Genomic DNA, 23,727 nt, shown 5'->3' with positions numbered 1-23,727 from the left:
GACCTTTACCCACTTCCTTGGGCTCCTTTCAGGAGCCAACAGAGTCCAAAGCTTGGGTCTTCTCAAACCCAACTACAGAGGCCTTGAAACAGGAGTCTGGACTTCCTGGGTTCGCTTGTGTTCCTGGGAGGGTCCCTGCTACTCTCTGGGCCTCAGTCTCCCTTTCCAAAAATGGGAGTGGAACTGGGGAGTCTCAGAGGCCCCAGTTGGCCTAGCTCTGCATCCCAGCTCTGGTCAGTCCCCCTTGTGGCTTCTGAGGGGCCTTCTCCTGGGCCTTGGGGAGGGAGCACTGAGGGGTAGGTGGAGAGCACAGGGCCCCAGGGAAGTGAGGAGGGGTAAGTGTCCTCTGAGTCTCATCTGGAATGTGTCTACCCCAGTCCTATAATCAGAGACCCTCTAGTTCCAGGCTGCACACCTGAAGGTGGGGCAGGAAGAAAGGAAGCTGCCCTTTCTTGGTCACCTGCAAGGCCAAAGTCTCTTAACCGTGCAGGCTATACCTTGCACAGGAGCTCCAGCAGAGGTGGGGTGGTGCTGAAACTGAGCCCACTCTCCCTCACCAAGCCTTTCCCCTCAGGCCCGCATCTGCCCAGAGAATTGGGGTCCCTCCTTTCTAATGTGCACACAGGTGGCCCCAGCCCCCTGCTGGGAGTCAGCTTAGGCAAGGTTTGATGGCTCAGCTTAATCTTCTCAGCAGCTCTGGGGGAAGAGACCATTTTACGGATGAGGAACTGAGCCCAGGAAGGTCCAAAGACTTGTCCAGTACATGTGGTGTGTGGCAGGGCAGGCAGATGAGCCCGCATCTGAGGGAGGCGATGGGAGAAGTGACAGGGGTGCGCAGAGGAGGAGAATTAGACCCTCTCAGATTCCACCACTCTCAGCCACACGTTCACTCACTCATTTGGAGACAAGACTAACCACCAGCGCATTCACAGCACCCCAGACAGCCACATACTGACTATACCACTGTCACATGGACATCAATGACCTGAATCACATATGCATAGATGCAGGCCCACATGGTCACTCCCACGTGCAGATGGCCAGTGCACACACATAGACACAGGGTACTCACACATGTTTACACTCTCACGACCCATGTGGGTTACAGATTCCTACAGAGACACAGACCTACATACTTTCACAAGGAAATTCTCCCAGTGACCCAGGGAACATAGTCTGCCATGATGATGTGATGGTCCGTAGGGGCTCGCCACTATGGACCATTAATGGGCAGGCTGCACACATGCTTAGGTCCCCAGCAAAGCGGGAGTTCTGCACAGAGTGAGAGGAGAGGTCAGTTCTGATGAGTGTATCCAGAATTTTGCAATCAGAAAAACCACACAAAAACTATTTTAATTTTCATTTCCAAGATAAAATTTAGTTTGAATTGTATAGAGGGTCCGAGGGTCTGGTGGGAGGGCATCATCATCTTTTCAAGGCTTTGGGGTTCTAAGGCACCCACAGATTCACAACAGTCCCACAAGATATCCCAGGCTGACATATTTACCCAGCCCAGTGTGTGCGTGTGTGTGTGTGTGTGTGCGCACGCTGTGTGCATGCTCATGCTGGCTCCCAGATCCTCGGGATGTGAGGAAGGAAAGTAGGAGAGATTCCAGAGACTCCGGATGTTTGTTCTCTGGCTTCCTGGGCCCTTCAAAGGAAAATAACTCTGGATGTCAGCCTGCCTGCCTGGCGGGCTGGGTGGAGAGGTGGGCTGTTTATGTTGGGAGGTGGGCTGTATGACAGCCTGCCTCAGCCCCTGTGGCCCCACTGACCGGGACCCTGTGTAATGAGGCAGAGTGACCAAGGCCCATGGCCAGCGTCCCATGGGCTCGTAGGCCCATCGCCTCCCCTCTCTGGGGCTTGGCTCTCTCATCTGAAAAATGGAGGTGGGAAGGAGATGAGACTGGATGGGCTTTCTCCTGGAGACTGATTAGAGAGACAGAGACTCAGGCCCGGGGTCCAGAAAAGACAACCAAAGCTGGGGAGGGCACATGAAGGGGGGCAAAGAAGGTCTGGGTTCAGGGGAGTGCGTGGGGCCCCAGAGCCTGCCATGTCTCCGCCAACTCTCTCCCTCACTGGAGGAGGGCTCTGTGCCTTGGTGCCCCACCTGCCCAGGGCCCTGTGGCTCAGCCCCTTGCTTGCTCTGTGAGGGGGACGGGAGAAGGATGAGAGTCCCAGTGATAGGGGGAGGACAAGACCAGGGGAGAGGGCTGGGGGTTTCTGGAGGGCCAGAGCAGGAAGAGCAGGAGAGAAGAGAGGACACCACAGTGCAGGAAACGGAGGAGCAAAGGCTGGGAGTGGGGAGGCTGGAGGGGTGCAGGGAATCAGACTGGGGCGCTGCGAAGAGGCCTGAGGCCAGAGCAGGCAGTGCCTGGATGGAGGGAGCGAGCAGCTCCTCACCCTCAGCTCCTTGATGAGGTAAGGTGACCACGAGCCCTGCTCCAGGCTGTGTGCTGAGCACTTTGCTCGGAGCCTGTCACTCTGGAGGAGGGGAGGGGGTGTTCCCAGGAGCTATGACAGTCTTGTGCAAGGGAGGGACAGGGTCACATTTATGTTTAACAAAGCACTGCGCTGGGAGAGAGGAGCTGAGAGACCCCGGCCCTGGGGAGCATGGTGGCTGGGACCCCGGAGGGCAGGCGTGCCCCAGACGGACCCCACTCAGAAGATTGCTTATCCCAACCCCCCAAAGAGAAAGGCTATTTTTAGGAACAATAAAAGTGCTCACACATTCCTGCAGGGGCAGAGAGAGGGAAAGGGGGCAGGAGTCAGTGCAGAGGAAGAGGGTGGACCCCGCTCTTCTCCCAACTCTGCCTTGGTCTTCAGGGACTTCTCCTCAGGGGCTTCCCCAGCCAGCCCTGCCTCTCCAGCCTCCGCCTGTCCCTGGGGTTCCCTACCGGCTCTTATGTCTATCCCTCTGCTTCTGAATTGGTACTTGTTCTGTCCCTGTCTCTCTTTCTCATACTTCCACTTTCCCCCTCCCCCTGGGGTTTGGGGAACAGCTGGGATGGGCCAAGCTCTGTTGAGAGAGCCAAATACAGTCATAGGACAAAGCAGCGGGAGGCTGTGGGATACACACATGCCGCAGAGCACAGACAGAGAGAGGTGGCCAGGCACAGAGAGAGCGCCCAGGGAGGCTGAGAGGCAGGGAGAAAACACGCTGGGACAGTCAGGGAGAGCCCCAGGGCAGGCATCACCGGGCAGCCAGCCTCTGTGCCCTGCTCTCTATCTTGTCCCTAAGAAGACCAGCATGGCTGGGCTTGCCTCCCGCCATCCACCCCACCAGCCCTACCCCAGGCTGGCCCTTCCTCCCCGCCCTCTGCAGGCCCACACTAACCCTAGGCCAGGCCGCCTCCTTCAGCATTTACCTCCCACACACAATGGGCACAGTGAGGACATAAGAGACCCAGTCTCTGGCCTGGAGGCAGATACTCAGCCTTACCCGACATCTGAGAGGGCTCAGCCCATCCCCTGGCCAAGGCAGGTATTAGAGGGGCCCCAAAGACAAGCAGGACTCTGGGACAAGGTGTCCTAGTGTGGCCCAAAGGGCTGGGCTGAAGCATGGGTCTCCTGGCTCCAGATGAGAGCCTGGGTGAATCCTTCCCTGCCTCCTCTGGCCTTAGTCTACCCCATCAAGCTTGGGATTGGACTACATGAGGCCTGAGGCCCTGTAGCCCCTGGTCCCTGGGAATTCTCAGAAGGCCTGGGAGGGGGACAGGTGACCACGCAGGAAGGCTTCCTGGAGGAGGTGTCCTCACTCATGAAAGAAGGTGATAGTGACAGTGCTCCTCTTGGGGAAGAGCCCTCCATCCTGACCTGCTGCCCCCACCCGGTCTGCACGTGGAGATGATCCTGAAGCACAAAGGGCCTCCCGGCCTGCAGAGGTGCCTGGGAGAGGTTGCCAAAGGCTCTCAGTAGGAGACACCCCATTCCTCAGGCTCCTTCTCTGAGACTGTAACTGTGCCAGACTGGGGAGGCTTTGAGAGGTCTCAGCTATCTCCCCTGCCTAGATCCTTCCTCCACACCCCTCTTCTCCCTGATGGCATGTAGCCCTCACAGTACAGTAGTCCTGGGCACACAGGAGTTTACCCAGTCATTTACAGCTCAGCAAACGCCTACCAACACCTATGAGGGGCTGGGTAATGCTGGAGACCTGGAGAGGGGCAGGACACAATCTCTGCCCTCCAAAAGCTCCCAGTCTGTTGTGGGAGCCAGACGGGAAAGGGTGGCACTGCATTGATGCACACAGTGCATGCCATGGTGGGGGAAAGGGGGGCAGTGGGAGCCCCAGGTGGGAGGGTCAGACTTGCCTGGAGAGAGAACAACAACAGACTCTCCCTGGAGGGGATCCAGAGAAGGGAGATCACTCCATTCATTCATTCGTCATTCATCCATCCACCCATTCAATTATTCCTTTGGCCATCATTTCCTGAGGGATGTAAACTCTCTTCTGACACTGACCCAGCGGGACACTCAGCGTCCTCCTCCTCTCCTGCTTGAGCCACCATGCCTGCCTCTTGGAGGCTCCTGGACTTGCTTTGCTCAGCTCCCAACCCACCCTGAGGGGGTGAGGCTGAGGAGGGTGTACAGACATTCAGGGTCACCAAACTCAGAGCTGGAGGCCTGCCACCTCACCAGGGGCCTTTCTCAGGGCACAGGCTCCCTGGTGGCAGGGCCTTGGCCCTTGCTTGCACACCCTTGGGGACTAGGAGCCCCCTCATCCATCCTGCTCAGGCTCTCTTTTGTGGCGCGACTCTGATTCACAGTGTGCCCAAATCTGCCTCCTTGTGACTGCCGCGAGCTGCCTCGTGGGCCCCAGGCCAGAGGACAAGGATAGCTAGAATGCCAGGTGACCAGGATGACTGTGATGGCATGGAGAGGGGGATGCTGTGATGTGTTTGGGAGGAAGTTTGTGGTGTCCAGGAGAATGTGGGCAGCAGAAATGGGACCACTCTCGGTTCTTCCCTGTAGATGAAGCAGCTGAAGGTGGGAGGGGGTGGGAGGAGACCTGAGCTGGCTCTGCCCCGCTTGATCTGATGTCTGCCTTGCAGGGCCATCCTCCCCCTCCCCACACTCAGCTCCTGCCTCCCTCCCTCTACCCACTCTGACTGTTCCCTCCTTTCCTGACTCCAGACTCTGGGTGAGGGACTGAGGTGATTCCAGTGAGTCAGGCCCTCAGGGAACTGATCGTGCAGGCAACTCTTGCCTGCCTTCTCCTGCTCTTTCCCTCTTCCCATTCCTTCATCCACCCCCAAACCTAGCTCCTGATGGATCCAAGGGTGCGGGGGACAACCGGGAGGTCATTTTGGAGGAGGCAGGAGCTGGAATAGAAGCTGGGACTGGCTTGGGAAGGGCGAGAGGCCGGGGCGGAGCTGGTTGTGGGCGCTGGAAGGGAGGAGCCAACAGTGTGGGGTCAGGCTCCTGTGGATGGGGACACCCTTGGGAGGCACTGGGACTGGCTCAGGTGTATTCTACAGTGCACGTGTCTCCAGTGTGGCTCGGAGGCTGGAGACGCGGCCCTGTTGGAGTAACAACTGAAGCCGGAGTCTGCGAAGGGTGGGCAGGAGGGTGGAGGGATGGGGGCATGGAGCGGGAGGGGGTAAGTAGAGGAGGGAGGGGAGGAAGAGAAAGAGGGAGGAGGAAAGGTCTCTGGCAGGTCCCTCCTTTAAGACTGGGCTCCTGCGCTGCGAGTGGCCCCGTCCATACTGCCTTGTTATCCATATCTCCCCACCACTAGTCTCCCTCTGTCCTTCCACCCCCAGCCTCTCCCCTCCATTGGGACCTTCCCTGGGGCGTCCCCTCATTGGCTGTTCTCACCTGAGCAAGGCCCCTCCCCTCCAGTCCTTAGCCTCTTCACCTGTACAATGGGATGACCCAAACAGGCACCTCTTGGGCTTGTAGGAGGATCCAAGATAGTGTCAGTGGGTCTCGAGGTGTGGTCCCCCGACCAGCAGCATCAGTGTCATCTAGGAATGTTTGGAAACGCAAGTTCTTGGACCTCGTCCCAGACCTACTGTATCAGAAACCCTGGGGGTGGGGCCAGCAATCTGCACTTTAACAAGCACTCTGGGTGGTTCTGGTGCACATGAAAATTGGGGAACGGCTGGTGGAAACCTCTAGCCACAGGAGGTGCTTGGGAAAGGTACCTTCCCCTCCCCAAAGCCTGATGCCTCACTCAAGCATGACACTGACAGTTGGGCTAGTTCAGCTGCGTTCTGGGTCTCTGTCTTGCCTCCTCCTTCAGACTAAGCCTCCCAAGGGTTGCCAAGCCTCTTTCCTCTATTCTCCTCACCCTGATCCAGCTCAGCCTCATTGAGAGAAGTCTGGGGCTGCAAGATCTTCGCACTCACAGGCAGTTCCTCTTTGCACATCCAAGGCACCAGTGTCTTTGAGAGGCGTCTCCTTGGCCAGGTGGCAGGCGTGGGTGTGTGGGGAGGAAGGAGGAGGAACCGCCTTGTTCTGCTTTCTTGTCTCTGACTCTGCAGGCTGGGGGTGCTGTAAGGCTGCGAGGAGGCATAGAGTCAGCTTGGGTGCTGGGCTGAGGCCAGGGGCCGAGGCTCAGCTGAAGCGGGCTTCTCTGGTCTGAGCCTACAGGATGCCTCCTTTGGGGCAGTTCTGCCAGTCACCCTGACTGGGCGGCTGTGCTTGCTAGTGCCAGACCCATGCTAGGCACAGAGGTCGATACGTTCTCCTGTGCTCTTGAAGGGCCCTGTCCTCTGGGAAGATAAGAGGCTGTGTATATTGCCCACCGGAACAGGAGGCAGGAAGCAAAAGAGGCGTAGATGACACTTGCCTGGCACCCCCTGTTTCCCCTCTAGCTGCCTTCCTGGGTTTCCCATTCTGTGGGCGCTTCTCTTGAGTTAGGTGCTTTCTCCCAGTGTTCTCAAGGTGACTATTTGGAGGTTTGTGGGAGGAGTGGGCTGGAGACACAGGAGTAGGTGGGGGCAGGAAGTATGCAGGAGAGAGATGGAGAGTGGGAGGAGAAGCTATGAGAGGAAGAGAGGACGCGGAGGTGGGAAAAGACGTCAAGACTCCTGGAGAGGAACAGGAGTGCAGCCTGGGACAGAGGTGGACGTCGGCCGGGGGAGGCAGGGAGGAAGGCAGGGAGGTCCACCCGAAAGGAAGGGAAGGGATGATGGACAGAGAATGAGAGGGCTCCGAGGTCCTGGGGGATCTAGAAGGACCCTTCCCTTTACAGAAGGGGACACCAAGGCCCAGAGAGAGAGGAGGGCCTCACAGAGGACCTAACACAAGCAGAGTTGCATGAATCAGTGTGAACGGACAGTCCCAAGAGCACAGCCGGACCTTGGGAGGTACTTGACTCTTGAGTTTGATGTTATTGCCTTCCTGTAGGCCAGTGTGAGGGGCACTGTGAGGCTTCCTTCCAGAGAAGGAGGCATGGAGCCAGTGCCAGGCAGTGGGGTGAGCCATAGGAGGACCTGTGGAGATGGGGAAAGGCATAGAGACTCATGAAGATGAAACAGGAAAGATCTTATGGCAGCGACCCCAACCCTCAGGAAGGGCGTTGGTCTTGTGCTTGTGGCTCCAAAGGGGATAAGACCAAGGTCTCTGGTTTCATAGAATCTTAGGCTTTAAGAACGAGTTAGAAGTAATTTAGTCCAGACCCTCTCCTCTCCCCAGATAAGTGCAGAAATGCAGATCTAGCCCACGGCTGAGCCCCAACCCTGGCTTCAGAGGAGGCCTGACTCAGAACAGGCTCCCCTTTCTTGGTACCTGGGGTGAATGAAAGCTAAGTCCGTGGTAATGGTGCTGTCTGTGGTGCTGACTGGCCTTACCTTGGACTACAGAGCTGCAGGTGGAGCTGGAGAGAGCAGAAAGGCTCCATCTATCCATCTACCCACCCACCCAGCCACCCATCTACCTATCCACCCACCATCCACCCACCCATCCATCCACCATCCCTCCCCCAACCCATCCTGCACCCATTCATCTATCCACCTACCCACTCATCCATCCAGCCTCATTGAATTAAACCATAGAACTATATGCTGCAGAGCTAGAAAGATCCATTTTTTAGTAATGACAAAACTGAGGCTCAGAAGAGGAAAGGTGTTGCGTAAGGCCACACAGAACTTCTGTAGTCAGTCTGGTACAGGATTGGAAATTGCGGCTCTTTTCTACACACCACAAGTTCTCCTCTGTGGTCTGGGAAATTGCCTGGTTTTTATGCTGATATCTATACTGATATTTGTTCCAAAAAGCTGTGAAGGCAGGAAATGTGACCTCCTTCACCCCATCCCGAGCCTGAGTTCTGTGTGTGTGTGTGTGTGTGTGTGTGTGTGTGTGTGTGTGTGTGTGGATGTGATGTGCATGTCTAAGTGCAACCTTGTATATGCATTGAATATATGATTGCCTTTTGATCTGTCTGTGTGCGTGTTTGTGTGAGAGCCTGTGCATATACGTATGAGTAGAGGAGTGCGTAGCAATATGTATTTGTGTGGCATGTGTAGATGGGCATGTGAGCAGGTAAAGCTGTGTCTGTATTTTTCCTTTCCTCTTCCTTTTAAGATCGAAGCCCCCTGACTTGAGCCTTGCTCCCCATCTGTGCCTCCAATTCAGGAATCTCCCTGCTTCCCATTAGCAGCTGCTCCCCACTGATTCTCTCCTTCCTTCACTGAAGCAGCAACTCTTCCCTCTGAGCCCACACCTCATGGGCTTTGCAATTTGAGCTATTTCCTCCCCTGAGTTGGTGCAATGGGGGTGAAGTTGCTTTGAGATCTGAGGAAGATTCATGGAGGAGATGGCATTTGAGCAAGCCTTGAAGGCCCCTTTGAGTGCCAGATCTGAAGTGGCCCTTCCCAGCTGCAGTTCCTGCACCCAACACCCTCCATTCCTGGGGCATGCTGGGCAGGACCAGGAGGTGGATTGACAGAAGGATGCCCACAAAGAGCCCTGGGCTTCATCAGTCACATTACCATCCAGTCCGCTCTAGCACAGATGGGAAGCCCTTCCCTGCTGCTGCCCCAACTCTCCCCAACTTTCCTTTCCTGCTCTCCTTATTGCTACTATCCTGCACTTGGCCTGAAAAGTCACAGAAAACTGAACAATCAGAGCAAAGGTCAGGCAGGCACCCACCAATTCCAGTAAAGGACAGTTGAGGGCATTCCCCAATTGAAGCAAAGGGCAGGTTGAGGAGTCCACCAATCAGAATAAAGGACAGACTGTTCTTTCTGAGCACCCTAGGGTGGGAGCTGGGGATCGGGTGCTGAGCAGGAACCAGACAGGGCTAGAGATCCAGAGGTTTGGGTTCTGGACCTGGCTCTGCTCTGACTGGCTGTCTGACCACAGGTTGATCATTGCTTCTCATTGAACCTCAGCTTCCTCATCGGTCAAATGGGGAGACTTAGCTCTCTGAAGGCTGTGGCTTTGAAGAATTTCTCCCCCTGTATCAGGCTCACTCCGTCACCTGGGTCTCTCTTCCCCAAGTCCACATCACATGCATCAGACTCCACCAAGGGCAGGGCCTCTCAGGAGTCAGCTTGTGGGCTCCTCTGCCTCCAAGAAGGAATAGACACAAACCAACACCACCTTCTGTGCTGTCTTTAGAGCCCCCGTCTGGGGAGCGTGCATCTGGAAGACTTTATCTTGGGAGTACTGGGGGCATCAGCTCTTCCTCCCCTTTTTAGTCTTCAGAATTGACCTTGGAAGGCCATAATAGCCTGCGTGTATTGTGCACAGGTATCACTCGAGCTCTTGCCCTGTGAATCTTTAAGGAACTGTACCAGTGAGAACGTGTGTGTGTGTGCGCACATGGATGGTGTCTGAAGGCCTGCTGGGATGTCTGCGAGGACGTGGGATCTGTGGCTGTGTGGTGCTGAAGTTGTCTGTGCTGTGATGAGGAGTGCCTAAGGGTCAAAAGACAAGTGATCCAATTTGGGTATTGTGTTGTCTGGAATCAGTAGCTTCTGATGTCTGAGGGTAGACATCTTCCCATGACCAAGATATGTGTCTTCATCCTTGAGCAGTGGGAGGGACCAAGGAAGCCTGGGGGTTGGGGAAAGCGATGCTGAGTAAGCATCTGGGGAGAAGGCCCACTACTGCCCTCCTCCTGGGAACACTGGATTGGGTGGGGGAAGGGGAGGAAACTGCAGCCAAGAAGACCCAGGAGTGAAATTTGGAGCTGAAGCCTGGATGCAAGTCTTCATTGAGAGCCCAGCGTGGAACTTTCTGGCAAATAGGCATTCAGCCCACTCTTGTGCACCCTTGAGGATGGGAAGCTCACTTCCTCCCTCTCTCCTGGTGACCTGTGGCATGCCTTTGTAGCATGGCCCTACCTGGAAGAAGGTCCTTCAGCCCACTAGACCAAGGCCAGCCTCCTGTGAAATCCTATGGGTCCCCAGGCTGTCCATGGGGCCACAGAGTTCAGATCCCCCATCTAGGAGGGTCTGAGAGATTGGAGTTGGAGACTGATAACCCTGGGTCTCCTCTGCTTTAGATGAGGCATCCCTGGGTTATCCAGTCTTAGTCACATGCAAAACTTGGTTTCCAATTCCCTCGTTTCATAGGTCGCCTCCTCTGGATGAGTGTCATCTTGTCAGCCCCTGGGACACAATGAACAGGGGATGGTCTAACTAGACTATAAAAGTGGGGGAACTGTCATCTTCCCAATTGGGTTAACAGACCTCTATTAATATGGCCTGCAATTTGAGCATTTTTATTTCTTGCCAGTCATGCTTACACTGTGGGCTCATGCTGAACTGTGGTCTTTTAAGACCCTCAACCTCATATCATGTTCACATGAATGGGGACCCAGCCATGTCTCCTTCATCTTGCAGTTAATCACTTTGCTTTCTGAACACAGACCCAACCTTCCACTGGGAAGACATCTGAAAGGACTTCCAAGGGCTTGCGGGAGGGCATGGCTGGTGGCTGGTATGAGTCACGATCTTGCCTTGGCCCTCGTTTCCTTTGTTCTGTTACCTTTCTCTTTGATCCCCATGGCTCTGGCCAAGTTAATAGAGCGAGAAGCAGGGACTTTTGTCTCCGTTCCGGCTCTGCAAGGACGAGTTCTGTTCCTGGGATGGGAAGGCTGTGAGACAGTCAAGGCTGACGTCTCCTTCTCCTCCTATAGTTGCCAGGGGTGGCCCAGCTGTTCTCCCACCTTATGGGTTATGCACCCCATAGGCTCTTGCTACTCTCAACCCAGCCCCTCACTAGGCTGGAAAATGAGACTAGGTGAGACCACCTTCCTTCTGGGGAAAGTGAGCGGGACCCAGCTTCAGCGAATATTCAGCTGAGCATCTACTCTGTGTTGGGCATTCTGTGAGGCACTTTTAGGACTCTGATTTTTATTTTCATTTTTAAGGGCTCAATTTCATTTTATCTTCATGTCAGCCTGTAGGGGGCAATAGCCCCAGCTGCTTCCAACTTACAGATAGGAGACTGAGGCTCAGTGACTGAACCAAGACACTCACTGCTCATACACAGCGGAGCTAGGATTCAAATTTGGGTGTTTTTTTGTTTGCTTGTTTTGTTTTAATTTGGAGCCTTGTGGTTTCCCTACTGTGCCAGAATTGTCCTCGACTAGAGAACAAGAGACCTGGGGTCTAGGCCAGGCTTGACCTGTTGACTCACTATGAGGCCTTTGCTAAGTCCCTGGCCCTTCTCTGCGCCTCAGTTTCCCCACCTGTAAGATGAGGGTACTTGGACATTCTGTGGCCTTAAGACTGTTTGATTTTGAGATCCTAAGATCCTGGGATTCCTGTGCCTGAAAGACTCGGGCTCTGGACTAAGCTGGGGGGTTTTGCTCACAGTCCTTTGGGCAGATGGGGCTGCCCTGGCCTGCCTGGCAAAGCCTCTCACTGCCCTCTCCTCTCTTCCAGGACGCCTTGCTGAGTCTGGGCTCTGTCATCGACATTTCAGGCCTGCAACGTGCTGTCAAGGAGGCCCTGTCAGCTGTGCTCCCCCGAGTGGTAGGTGCCCGCCCTTGCCCCACGCTTCCCACCCCACCCCCAAATCCTTTGACCAGCTCTATGCTGTACCTCACTCAGGGCCAAGGAGGAAGGAAGAGGCAGGGTCCCTGCCCAGAGGACTTTCATGGGGAAGTGAAGGGTCTGGATGGGTGTTCTGAGACAGCTTTCTGGAGGAGGAAGCCTGAAGCTAAGCATCAAGGAATGAACTTGCATAGGAATCCTGCAATGGCTGAGCCAGAAGGGGCCTTAGAGGTTAAGTGGAAAAGCTGTGTCTCAGATAATGAAAGGGATTCACCTAGGATAACAGGACGTGGTGGAGCCAGCTGAGTTTTGGAATACATGCAGCAGGAGAAGTTGAGGGTAGACATGTAGAAGAACTTCCTGGAAGCCAGGTCTGGGAGGTACTAGAATAGGGCTCAGCTTTGATGAATAGACATGCATTGGGTTAAAGTGCCCTGCCTGGAGATGGGAGGCTGGAAAAATGGCCTCTAGCAGCCTTTTAGCAGCTTTCTTTCTGTCCCATCCCAATACCATGGATGAGTTGCAGGTTTGGGGCAGGTTTGGGGTGATCATGGTTGCCTGAGCCCAGAGTGCCTTACTGGGGAGATTGTGCCCCTCATCATCTGTTCCAGGCCACTCCCCTACCTGGCTTCAATGGCCACTGTTCATCCCTTAGGCAGGAGGATGGGTAAACCAGCCCTTGAGGCCCAAAGTAGCAGGGTGTTAGTTGCACCAGAAAGAGGGAAGCAGGGGACGTTTGAAGCCTGGAGAAGGGAGTCTGATCCAGCCTAAGGGGCATGGAAGACTTCCTGGAGGAGGAGATGCCCTAACTGAGTCCTGATAGCCTTGAATGTCCTCTTCCCTACTCTAAACCCGGCCAAGGGCAGCCTCTGCTCCAGGAAATATGGCCAACTCAGAATGTGACCTTCCCATCCCTCCAGAGCCCATTGTCCCTGAATCTGCTTGATGGATGAACCACCGGAGGCCCAGAGAGAGAGGGCACTTGTCCCAAGGTCACACAGCATGACAGGGATAAATGGGACTTGGTATCTAAGCAGCCCCATTCCCTCTCCTCAGCTCTGCCTTCCCCAAACCTCCTAGAAGTTCAGAGCCCAGGAGGAGGGCTAATGAGTGAGCTTTATTGAGTGTGAAATTGGTAGGAAGTGGGTGGTGTGTTGGCGCCCAAAAATAAATCCTCCTGGAGAAGGACGGGACTAAGGCAACATCTGGGCTGGGGTGAAGGCACATCTGGAAAGGGAGGGTGGTGGAAACTGGCAGGTCGGTTTCTGTAGGGCTGCCCCGAGAGCCTCTGTGGCCACTGAGGCTGCCGTAGGGTGGGAGGAGGAAGTGACTGGCTCTGTTTCACAGGCAGGGTGCCCTGGCGGCTGTGCCAGCCTAGATGCTCTGCAACAGATTAATTGTCTCCCCAAAGCTGGGGGCTGGGATGACAGCTGTGGTCCAGGTTCCTGGGACAGTGGGAAATGTCAGCCCTGGCCCACCCAAGAGCCCTATAGGAGCTAGGGAAGCCCTGACTTTCGGGAGTCCTGGCTTGATTGCACGGAGGGGCTCAGCCCCCAGTGAGGTAAGGGAGCTGAGGTCTGCTCTGCTGCCCCCAGGGAGGGAAGCAGAGATGGGGAGGGGACCCCCGCCCAGGGAGGAGAGCTGCTGGCACCTGGCTTCCTCATCAGCACCCATTGTGGCAGGCAGCCCCGAATGCAGATGGTGCTGATGTGTCTGAAATGGTTCCCTCCTTCTCTCCAATAGACTCAGCTAATTTTAACCCAGAGGGCTGAGAGTAAGGGGGTGGGAGACATACGGACATGCGGAAGTGAAGCGAGAATCTGTCCCCCTCTGCCCCCATGGACTACCCACCCCTCCCTCTGCCTGGGCAGGACTTTCTGTGTAACCCCGGCTGGTCTCTTAACCTCTTTGGGCCAAATAACTCAGGCCCCTCCCAGGCTGCTGGAAGAGATGGATGACAAGGAGGCTAGATATAGCCGAAGAGTGGGCGGCCTCCTTCCCACTGAATTCTTTATCCCTGAACATCCCACTTAGGTTTCCTTCCAGCCAAACAAGAGGGTGTCTGCCCCTCTCACTCCCTTCAGGCCTTATCATTCCCACCCCATGCCACACCCACCACGGAACCTGGCTCAGTGTCTCTGGAAGTAGTGGCCAGGCATCTCCTGTGGTGGGGGCTGGCTGGCGACAGCTGATGACAAGAAGAGTGGCTGGCAGGATTGTGGACGCTCTCAGAGTCATGGAAGGCAACTGCTTCTTCTGGGAAGGATTCCACACTTACTGAGGGTGGGCCTTCAACACGTAGCTCCACTGTCAGCTCCTCCCAAAGCCCTCCAGGATACCCTCAGCTGGGAGGCAAGCCCTTCTCCATCCTCCTGCGGAGAAAACAGCAGAGTTGTGGACAAGGCTGCGTTGCATGGGGGTTGGTCAGGGATCCCGAAGGGTTGCCAGTTCTGCTTGGAAGGAATGTGGATTTTTGCCTGTAGGTCAGTGAGGGCAACTACTTCTGCCAAGACATGGCCTGGAACTGAGGCCAGAGCTGCTCTGGGCCCTTGGGGAGGGAGGATTAAAGAGCAAGAGCTTTGATCTCCCTCTGAGGAGTAATCGGTCCAAAATACAAATCTGCTCACGTCTCCCTGTGCACGTCCTGCCCTGCCCCAGTTCTGTTCGTAAGCCCATCCCACTCAGCCCTACTGACCTTGGGCCCAGCCCCTGTGCCCCTTCCCTCACTGTCTGTTCCTAAATGCTCCATGCTTTATACGCCTCTGGACCTACCTGTGTACCTGCTATAAGGCCTGGGAGCCCATTCTGCACCCTGCCCACTCCCTGAATGTGTCTAATTCCCACTCAGTGACAGCTGAAAGGTCACTTCCTCCAGGAAGCCCTCTCCAGCCCCACCGGAGGATGGCGCAGTGCCCTGCTCTGTGTTCCTCCCCTGGCTGGGGTTATGGGTGTGTGGTTTCTTGTAGAGGTGAAGGAGGGATGCTTCCTAGAACATTCTGAGCCCCATCCCTGGTACAGCTCAGAGTGGATGCTCAGTTATTGTTTGCTGAATGCCTGAGGCTGGAGTCAGGCAGGGAAATATCCCAGGTGGGAGGTGATTTGTCTGCACCCTCAGTCCTTGAAACTCTTTACCTGGCACATTGGGTTTTGGGTGGTAAAAAAGGTCATAGGTTCATGAATCATTGCCTGCTTAGAATTCCGTCCAAGAGGAGAGGACGAGGTGCTTAGTTCACCGGGTGTTTTGCTGCCCTGGCTGCATCTTAGAATCACCTGGAGAGAAAAACAAACAGATCATTGCCAGAGCTCCACTCCCACAGGTTCCATGACCTTGCCCCACAGACCCCTGTGTACAGGCTGGGACTGGGCAGCTGGGAGGGCCTCTCCACAGGGTCTCATAAGTGCCTTCTGTCCTAGGAAACTGTCTACACCTACCTACTGGATGGTGAGTCCCAGCTGGTGTGTGAGGACCCCCCACATGAGCTGCCCCAGGAGGGGAAAGTCCGGTGAGCCATTCTCTGCACCCCCATTGCCCTCTTGCATGGCCAAGGATTCTCAGGGCTGAGGCACCATCCAAGGTCATCTGGTCTGACCCTCCCCTTCCAACATTGATCCCCGCCTCCCTGCCAGGTGGGATTCCTTGGCCAGGTTGCTGACTCCAGCACAGAAGGGCAGAAGCAATGTCTTCTCTTCCTTGGGGAAATGGATAGGCACAGAGAAAATACCAATTGATGGTAAATTTTCTCCTTCTAATTGCTTCTAAATGGCTGCAGCCTCCTCAGAGCAGAGTCTCAGAACATTGGGGCTATGGGGTGTATCAGTTAGAACACCGGCATGCTGTGAGAACTACTGCGAGGCTGGACCTGGAATCCCAGCATGCTGGGCCTGCAGGAGCTCACAGTGCCAACTCCTTGCATCTGAGAACAGGGAGATCACAGGCAGCGTCCTGCTGAGGGTTCTGGAGCCCCACTGCCTGGGTTCAAATCTCAGCTCCCTGTTTACTAGCTGTGTAACCTTGGGCAAATGACACAACCTCTCTGTGCCTCAGTTTTGTTTATGAAATGGTGATAATAATGGTGCTTATAGGATTGTGGGGAGGATTAAATGTGTCACACATGTAAAGCATTTAAATCAGGCCTGATCCATGGTGAGGGCTGTCTGTTGGGGATTACCATTGTGAGAGAATGCTGGAATCACTGACTTCAGGATCATGGGATCAGGGCACTTGGCCCCCTGATACCTTGATGCCCATTTAATTCAGCCTCCTCATCTTCCAGATGGGTGGATATCATGAGACATGACCAAGGCCACATGCCAGGTATGAGGCAGAGCCAGGCCTAGGACTCGGGTCTTCTGACTCCTGGCTGTTTAGGGGAAAGTGAGAGGAAGTGGAACTCATCAGATGAGAAAACCTTGGGGGCAGGCATGCTGCTGGGAGGAGGCAGGCTCTGAAGGATGTGGCCATTGCCTGCTAAGCACTGAATGCAGGGCCATTGTGGGGCCCAGGGAGCACTGGGCAGGAGCTGAGGGCAGAGTGGGCACCAGTGGGGATGTCCCAAGAAGGCAGCTCTCTACCCCTGTGAGGAGGGCTTTTCCAGCAGGCCAGGTGGTCCAGGGATGTGGCTTTTTCAGGTAGCAGCTGAGCCTGGCAAGCCACTCACCTTTCACAGGGACCATGGAAAGAATTCCTGTTTGAGGATGCTGGACTCATGGTCCTGAGGCCCCTCCTTGTGCTGGAAACCCTGGTTTCTAGGATGCTGGTCTCTCCTCAGCCCTTTCCCGTGGAAGGAGTTGGTTCTGCTCTGATAGCCACCTTCCCATTTCCTATTCTCCCACTGAGCTCCTTTCACCTTCCCCTAACAACTTCTCCGTCAAGGAGCATGGGAACAAAGCCATTACCACCTCTCTCTAGCCTTTGTGTCCCGTCTGTAAGAGGATGGTCTGAAAGGTCTTTAGAACCTTAAGGGGAAAAATGTGGTCATGTCCCCCTTTCTCCTCTAATTCCAAAGAACTTCGCTCTCCTCCAGCATCCCCCACCTCTAATTCTAAAGAACTTTGCTTCATATAAGCTCCACTCCTCCAGGAAGGCTCCTCGGAGCAGCCTGGGAGGCCTTCCTGGGAGGGATGCAGGAAAACAGGCTCAGGAGGCAGCGGGGAGCAGCCTGCAGGTTTGCTTCACTCCCTAGGACCCACACATGCTCCCCTCAGCTGTCTGGGCATGTAGAGTGGGTGCGTATCTGCGGTCCAGGCATTTTTGAGAGGGCTCAGATCCTTGGCATCAGCTGCCCTTTCAACATCCTCCTTCCAACCACTTCAGACTCAGTAAGGCCTTTGGAAAAAATACCAAAAAAAAAAGCAATTAAAAGTGAATATTCAAATCCAATTATCCCAGAGCTCAGTGGAGATGGGGAGGTGAGTGCCTGCTGGTAGACAGGGGCTGAAGATTCCAGGAGGAGGGCCAGGGGATGAGAAGGCAAGAGAGTGAGGACAGCAAGGACCTCCCAGGGGACATACCCATCATCAGGACACACCCGTCATCATCCCCAAACAGGAATTCTTTCCATGGCCCCTGTGAAAGGTGAGTGGCTTGCCAGGCTCAGCTGCTACCTGAAAAAGGATTGGGGGAAGGCCCAGGCCCAGTGCTCTCTCTGGTATCTGAGCTCTGCTTGCCCACCTTTGTGCCTGGTGTCTGGTGGTGAGCCCATCTCCACAGTTAGGGCGGAGAGGCCCCAGGGTTGGCTGGGCCCTGCTCTCAGGAGCTCCCAGCAGGATGGGGACTTGAGACCCAGGTGTATGGACGAGGGAAGAGCACTGGAATGGGATTCAGACAGGTCTGGATTCTAGCTCAGCCCCCTCCCTGTCTCTCTGCTTTCCTACCTGAGGCCCGGTCTATTGGCTTAATGGGGTAACAGGGGCCAAGTGCTTGGCACAGTGCCCAGCACACAGTAGGAGCTCAGTGATTGCTACTTGCACTCCCAAGTCCCAACCAATGATTAGCCTTGAGTGACCTTGAGAAAACGACTTCTCTTCTGGCCTTTTTTCTGTGAAATGGGTGGGGTTGGGTACAGGGTCCTTCCGATGGTGACCTTTGTGGCTCTGGTCCCCCCAGGAGGGAGAGGGACTGACCTACAGGCTGCCGTGGAGCCTGAGGCTCTAGCAGTGCCCGAGGAGGTGGGGGTGTGGGGAGGGTGCTACTCCAGGAAACCCTGGACTGTGGGCAAACAGCAGCAGGTGTGGCGTGGAGGCTGGATCATAGAGACAGATAAGGAGGCCCGAGGCAATGGGCAGGGAATGGGATCAGGGCAGTGTGGGGAGAGACAGGGTGGAAAAGGGTCAAGGCGGGAGTGAGGAGGCCCCCGCCAGCTCCCAGCCCCACCTGTCCCTGTTCCTGCCGCTGTTTGGGCTCTCAGATGCCCAGCTGCATCCCCCCAGTGTGTTTGGCTTTCCTGTCTTCTTGTGCTTGTAAGGGCTGCTTGCTCCCTTGCAAAGACCGTCCCTGCTCCACTTTCATCTCAGCCAATCCCATTGTAATTATCTTTCATGGCCTGACCAGAAGCTGTCTTGGGGAAGCCTGCTCCACAGTTCCCTGACACTGAGAAGGAACCAAGTTTCAGAAAAGGGGTCTGGGCCATATTGGCCTCCCTTAGGGTTCTTCCACAGGAAGAACCTTGGGCTGGGAGTCAGAGACCTGGGATCCAGGACAACATGGCTGCAATCACAATCCGATGCCCTCTTCCTGGGCCTCCATATGCCCTTCTGTAAAATGATACGCTGAACATTCTGATATTGAGGGCTGGTGAGGCTCTGAATTGTAAGGGCTGCAAACGACCTTGGGGCTGGAGAGGAGAGAATCCTGGAAGGCTGCCTGGGCCAGGGTCTTCCTGAAAGGAGGCTTCACTTCCCTCTTGTTGGTGCCCCACCTCCATCTCCCAGACTGTTTCAGGCCCCAGCTCTGCCGCCTTCCTCTTCTTGTGTCTCCTGCTATCTTAAAGCCTCTGATTACCTGATGCTGAGTGCAGCAAAAATCTCAGGCCTTTCAGCTGCAACTGAAGCACCCACCGCCCACCTCGGCCCAGGCTGGCTGTCTCCCTCTGCTACCATTTTGGGGTCCCCAGGGCCCATCCCTAAGAAATTTCTTCCCCTAAGCTGACCAGGTCTTCTTTCATTGCAGAATCTGACCATCCCTAGGGGTTGTCTCAGAGGACACCGGGAACGGTCTGCTCCCATCTCGGGATCCTCACATGCTGGGGGAAGGAGGGCAAGAAGAGGGTCCAGGTCCTGGGGGCTCAGTGAGAGTGGGGGGCTTAGTGAGGGGATGGGGGCCCAGTGACAGTGGGCAGCCTCAGTGAGGTGATGGGGGCCCAGTGAGGATATGAGGGCTCAGTGAGAGTGGGGTGGCCCAGTGAGGGGATTGGGGCACAGTGAGAGTGAGGGGCTCTGTGAGGGGGTAGGGACTTAAGTGAGGGGATGGAGACTTAGTGAGAGTCGGGGGGCTCAGTGAGGGTGGGGGTTCCCTGGGGGGATGGGGTTCCGTGGGAGGATGGGCTCAGCAACAGGCTTGGCTGCTTACTGATGCCTGGGACCTAGTGGGTGTTGGAGGGGGGCTTCTCCAAAGTAGAGAACGCGAGAAGGACACACACAGGGGCTCAGAGAAGTGCAGGGGACCCAGCTCTTTCCAGGCTGTTGGCCCTACCAGCAGAGAACCTTTCCCTCGATTCTTTTTCCATTAAACAAATAGTTGTTAAAGGGACGGAACTGCCATAAAGTCCACGCCTGTTCCTCTCTCCACTCTGTGCCCATCTGTCCTTATCTTCAGTGGGGCAGGCCATGACCACCCAGGCACCCAGTGCTGTCATTAGCCTTCGCCTGGGCAGCTGGCCCTGGGTTGTGGAGTTCCCCACAACCCCCAGCATGAGCCTGGAAGGCAGGGTGGGGGTGGGGTAGTAGTAAGGGAGGAACTGGAGAGGAGCAGGGAGCGGCTCTGAGTTGAGCAAGGAGCTATCGGGGGTCTGAGCAGTGGACGAAGCTCCCGCTCCCATGTGGGTGGGGGAGACTCAGCCTTGGCACATTCCCCCTCGCAGTCTGTGGGCATCTTTGGAGACTTCAGGAGGACAGCAGTTCTGGGAGGGCTATGGCAGAGGAAAGGGGCTCCCATGGGGGTAGGTTGAGGTGAGTGTGGGCTATGGGGTCCCGCAAAGCCGGGGGAGGGCAGGCTGCAGAGCAAGGTGCCGAGGCTGCCTAAGAATTGAGGGTCCTTGGAAGCCCCAGTGCTTGGGGGCATCTCGGCTTATCAAGATTGGTCTATCCCAGCTCAGCCTCTGTCTTGTCCAGGGCCACTAAGATGATAGGACCCTCACTGAGACCAGGTTTCCAGTGTCACAGTCTCCTTATGTGGAGAGTTTTACCCAGGCAGCATGATCGTTCTGAAATCATACCTGACCATTACCGTCCCTGCTCAAATCCCTCCCAGGGCACCCCCTGCCCTCAGGCTCAAGCCCAGCTCCATAGGGCCCTGGCCCCTGTCTAGCCTTGCTCTCGGCTGTCCAGTCACACCAACCTCCTTGTGGCCATACCTTTCAGCAGGCACACAATCTTCTCGCCTCCAAGCCTTCACAATTGCAATTCCCTGGACATCCTTTCCTGTCTGCCTCGATAACCTCTGCCTGTCCTTTAGGACTCAACTCAGATGTCTCCCTCTACAGGAAGCCTTCTCTGACTCCATCACACCCTGCACCTGAGTGGGCTGGGGCCTGCTCTTCCTGCCTTTGGCAGAGCTCTCATCTCCCGACTGAAGCGTGGGTCTGTACGTTGATCTCTGCGTGTTCTTGGCCTCCTCAAGTGAGGCATATGTCTGACCCCTCTGCTCATCTCAGCCCTCAGCACTGAACCTGACCCAGAAGGACCCAGTGAAATGAGAGACTTTAAGTAGAATGCTCCCCGAGGTTTTTCATCTAGAACACTTATTCTTGCTCTGCCATGGAGAATGGATTGAAGAGACCCAGCTAGGAGGCTAGAGGCTTGGGGAGAGGCTGCTTCAGGGTTCAGGGAAAAGGTGTCTCCATGTGAGCTGGGCAGTGGCTTGGGCATAGAGAGCAGAGGACAGTTGTGAGAGACAACTGGGAGGTGACTCACTGATCGGATGGGGGAGGTGAGGAAAGAAGGCAGGTTTTTGGACAAGCCGTGAAGGACCTGGTGGATGGTTGTGCTGCTTTGTTGTGAGGTGGAGGGAGTGGAGATAATAATTCAGATGGTATGGGGGTCCCTGGGCCACCTCAGGGACGTGGTGGGGAGGCTCCAGGTGGCCTTTGGGTATCTGGGGTCTGGAGCTCATGAGTGAGGGCTGGAGAGTCATGAGGCCGTGAGCACAGAGGAGGGGTTTTGTGCAAAAGAGAAGAAAGGCTGAGGACAGATTCCTTCATCAGGGTCCTGGGAAAGAGAGGCCAAGCAGCTCCAGTCCAGGGGTGGGAGGGGAAATAGTTGGGAGTCGGCAGGATGAGGCTGCAGTGCGCACTGACCAGCAACGCAAGGACCAGTGCCACCTTGTGGCCTCCGGTTAACCAGATTGTCTGAGGCCAAGGAGCTGGGCAGGGTTTGGCCAGGGGTCACCCCCTGCCTCCGTGAAGCCTCAGCCTTCATCAGTTTAATCATCAGGAAACGTGGCTCCCGTTGCCCTCCTGCCACCCTACGTCCCTCTCCTTCCCGGGGTGACTGGCAATGTGGACAGCCGGGAACTGGAGCCCAGCACTTCAGGAACCTTAAAGGTCCTGGGTGTAGGGGCTGGAAGGTGGGAGACACCACCGGTTCCTGTAGATCCTGGATTACTTAAAGTGGCCAGGAAGGAATGGGTTTGGTTCAGAATGCTGCGTGAGCTTGAACGAGATGCTCAACCTCTTTGGTCCTCGATTTGTCTAGAGTCTCTGACCTAGTGATCTCGTGACTTGCAGGCCACCCCCTCCTTTTCCTCATGTGACCTTTGCTGGGCTTCCCTTAGTGACCCTGTATGCACACAGTTCCCCAAGTTTCTCTTCTGTCCAGGCCAGGCAGTTCCTACAAGCACAATTAAGTGGAGGCAGCATGAGGGATGAAGAACCCAGGACAATTAATCATCAAGGAGTGACATTTGGTGCAAACTCAGGTGCTTAATTAAGCGGGATGAGCCAGAGGCTGGGGGGTAGAGGAGGTGGGTTGTGTGGTGGGACAGAGAGAAACTCATTCTTCCCATACCAACCTCCCCTGCCTTGGTTCCCACCACCCCTCTGCCACTGTCATACCCTGCCACTCACACCTGCCCCCTGTTCAAAGCTCACACCTCCACAGGTATTTGGGAAGGTTCCAGCATAGTGGTTAGACCTAGCCCTGGTGCCACCTACCTGGGTTCAAATCCTGGCTCTACCGCTTATTCACTGTGTAACCCTGGGCAAGTGAATTAGCCTCTTGGTGCCATAGCTTCTCCATCTGAAAATGAAGATATCTAATTCATAGAATTGCTGGGAATTCTGAGTTCATCTATGTGAGTTGCTTGGGCTGTGCACGGGACATAGGAAATGGCCAATAAACTTTAGTTATGATGATTACCTCCTGTGCTTAGCACTAAAAGCTGATCAACAATTGTTTTCTGAGGATGGTGACAGGGAGGGTTCTTCTCTCTCCACCCTAGTTCTCCTTGGGAAGATCAGAGAGGTCAGGTCATGTGCCTAAGGTCAGATTGTAGCAGGCAGCCTAGCTTTGAGCCCCTGCATTCACTTCCTCTGCTCTCCCACTGCCTGGAAGATCTGCACTGGGCCCCACCCGAGCCTTTACCAGCAAGGGGCACCAGAGGCCAAACTGTGGCTGCCTGTTTCTCCACATAGGGTCCAGGGTCCCCTACTTTTTTACTTGTGCTGTCATCGTGTCCAACCTGAGGCAGGTCAGCTTGCCCAGATCCTTGCACATGTGCAGGGTCCAAACTGTCCTGTGTTCCCAGGCCAGGCCTCGTTCCTCCCTGAGTCGGGGGCTCTCAAGGTGGCATCATGTCCTCTTTTCAGGGAGGCTATCATCTCCCAGAAGCGGCTGGGCTGCAATGGGCTGGGCTTCTCAGACCTGCCAGGGAAGCCCTTGGCCAGGCTGGTGGCTCCACTGGCTCCTGATACCCAAGGTAAGGGCTAGGGGCTGGGCAGGGGCAGGGGCAGGGGCAGGGAGGGACTGTGGCCCCTGCACTCCAGGTCATGTGTGTCTTCTATTCCTCTTCATCTCTGTCTCCTTCTTTCTCTTGCTCTGTGTCTCTAGCAGTCCCTCCATCTAATTCTCTCTCTATTGTACTACTAAATTCTCTGAGCCTCAACTTCCTGACTATAAAATGGGACAATAGTATTTACCTTGAGGGGGTGTTTCAAGGAGGTGCAAGTGAGATCATGCATGTTAGGGGCCTGGCACAAGCGAGGGCTCAGTGGCCCGTGGCTGTGGTTGTGATGTGCCTGTGCCTGATGCTGGATGGGGCTGTAGTTGTTCTCACATTCTCTCTGTCACTGTCATTGGCCCTATTTCTCTTTTTCTTCTCCTCCATGCCTCCTGTCCGCCATGTCCCTCTCTGCCTCGTGTCTCAGTCTCTCTAGGTCTCTGTCCTCTGTCTCGATGTGGAAAGTGCACAAGACTGGGAGTCAGGAGACCTGACTTGCTGTGTGATCTTGGGCAAGTCACTTCCCCTTTCTAGACCTCAGTTTCCCAATCTGTAAAATAGAGGTGCTCAGCCTCACCTGCCTTCCTCCCTGCAACCCTGGGAGGATCACAAGAAGGTTGT

The 23,727-nt window shown here is 55.4% G+C and overlaps 1 protein-coding gene, 1 long non-coding RNA gene and 1 other non-coding gene across 8 annotated transcripts in view, besides 2 other annotated features; 2 read left to right on the top strand and 1 right to left on the bottom strand.

Moving 5' to 3' along the window:
* PDE2A (phosphodiesterase 2A) overlaps positions 1-23,727 on the top strand; it is a 98,282-nt gene that overhangs the window by 53,828 nt on the left and 20,727 nt on the right. For all 5 annotated transcript variants that reach the window (NM_002599.5, NM_001146209.3, NM_001143839.4 and 2 more), the window contains 3 exons: positions 11,844-11,933; positions 15,369-15,457; positions 22,976-23,085. In NM_002599.5, the coding sequence (NP_002590.1) occupies positions 11,844-11,933; positions 15,369-15,457; positions 22,976-23,085 (289 nt within the window). The remainder of the gene's footprint in view (positions 1-11,843; positions 11,934-15,368; positions 15,458-22,975; positions 23,086-23,727) is intronic.
* Positions 1,406-14,368, bottom strand: LOC105369377 (uncharacterized). 2 transcript variants are annotated; one of them, XR_001748292.2, is made up of 4 exons: positions 14,233-14,368; positions 6,293-6,503; positions 5,858-5,966; positions 1,406-1,651 (listed from the first exon to the last, which is right to left on the bottom strand). It is a non-coding gene; the product is annotated as an uncharacterized LOC105369377 (long non-coding RNA). The 2 variants fall into 2 exon arrangements; XR_007062770.1 differs by lacking the exon at positions 1,406-1,651 and having other exon boundaries at positions 5,806-5,966.
* Positions 1,695-2,214: an enhancer, noted in NCBI's record as "H3K4me1 hESC enhancer chr11:72329425-72329944 (GRCh37/hg19 assembly coordinates)". NCBI's record gives its function as "activates a minimal SCP1, AML or CMV promoter by ChIP-STARR-seq in primed H9 embryonic stem cells {active_cell/tissue: H9 hESC(primed)}" and the evidence as "EXISTENCE:reporter gene assay evidence [ECO:0000049][PMID:30033119]".
* Positions 5,465-5,532, top strand: MIR139 (microRNA 139). Its single transcript, NR_029603.1, has one exon. It is a non-coding gene; the product is annotated as a microRNA 139 (primary transcript).
* Positions 6,458-6,557: an enhancer, noted in NCBI's record as "active region_5192". NCBI's record gives its function as "activates an Ori minimal core promoter by ATAC-STARR-seq in GM12878 lymphoblastoid cells {active_cell/tissue: GM12878}" and the evidence as "EXISTENCE:reporter gene assay evidence [ECO:0000049][PMID:35858748]".

The sequence above is a fragment of the Homo sapiens genome, chromosome 11, assembly GCF_000001405.40.
Source record: "Homo sapiens chromosome 11, GRCh38.p14 Primary Assembly".
NCBI lineage: Eukaryota > Metazoa > Chordata > Mammalia > Primates > Hominidae > Homo > Homo sapiens.
This window is presented reverse-complemented; position numbering and strand designations above follow the sequence as displayed.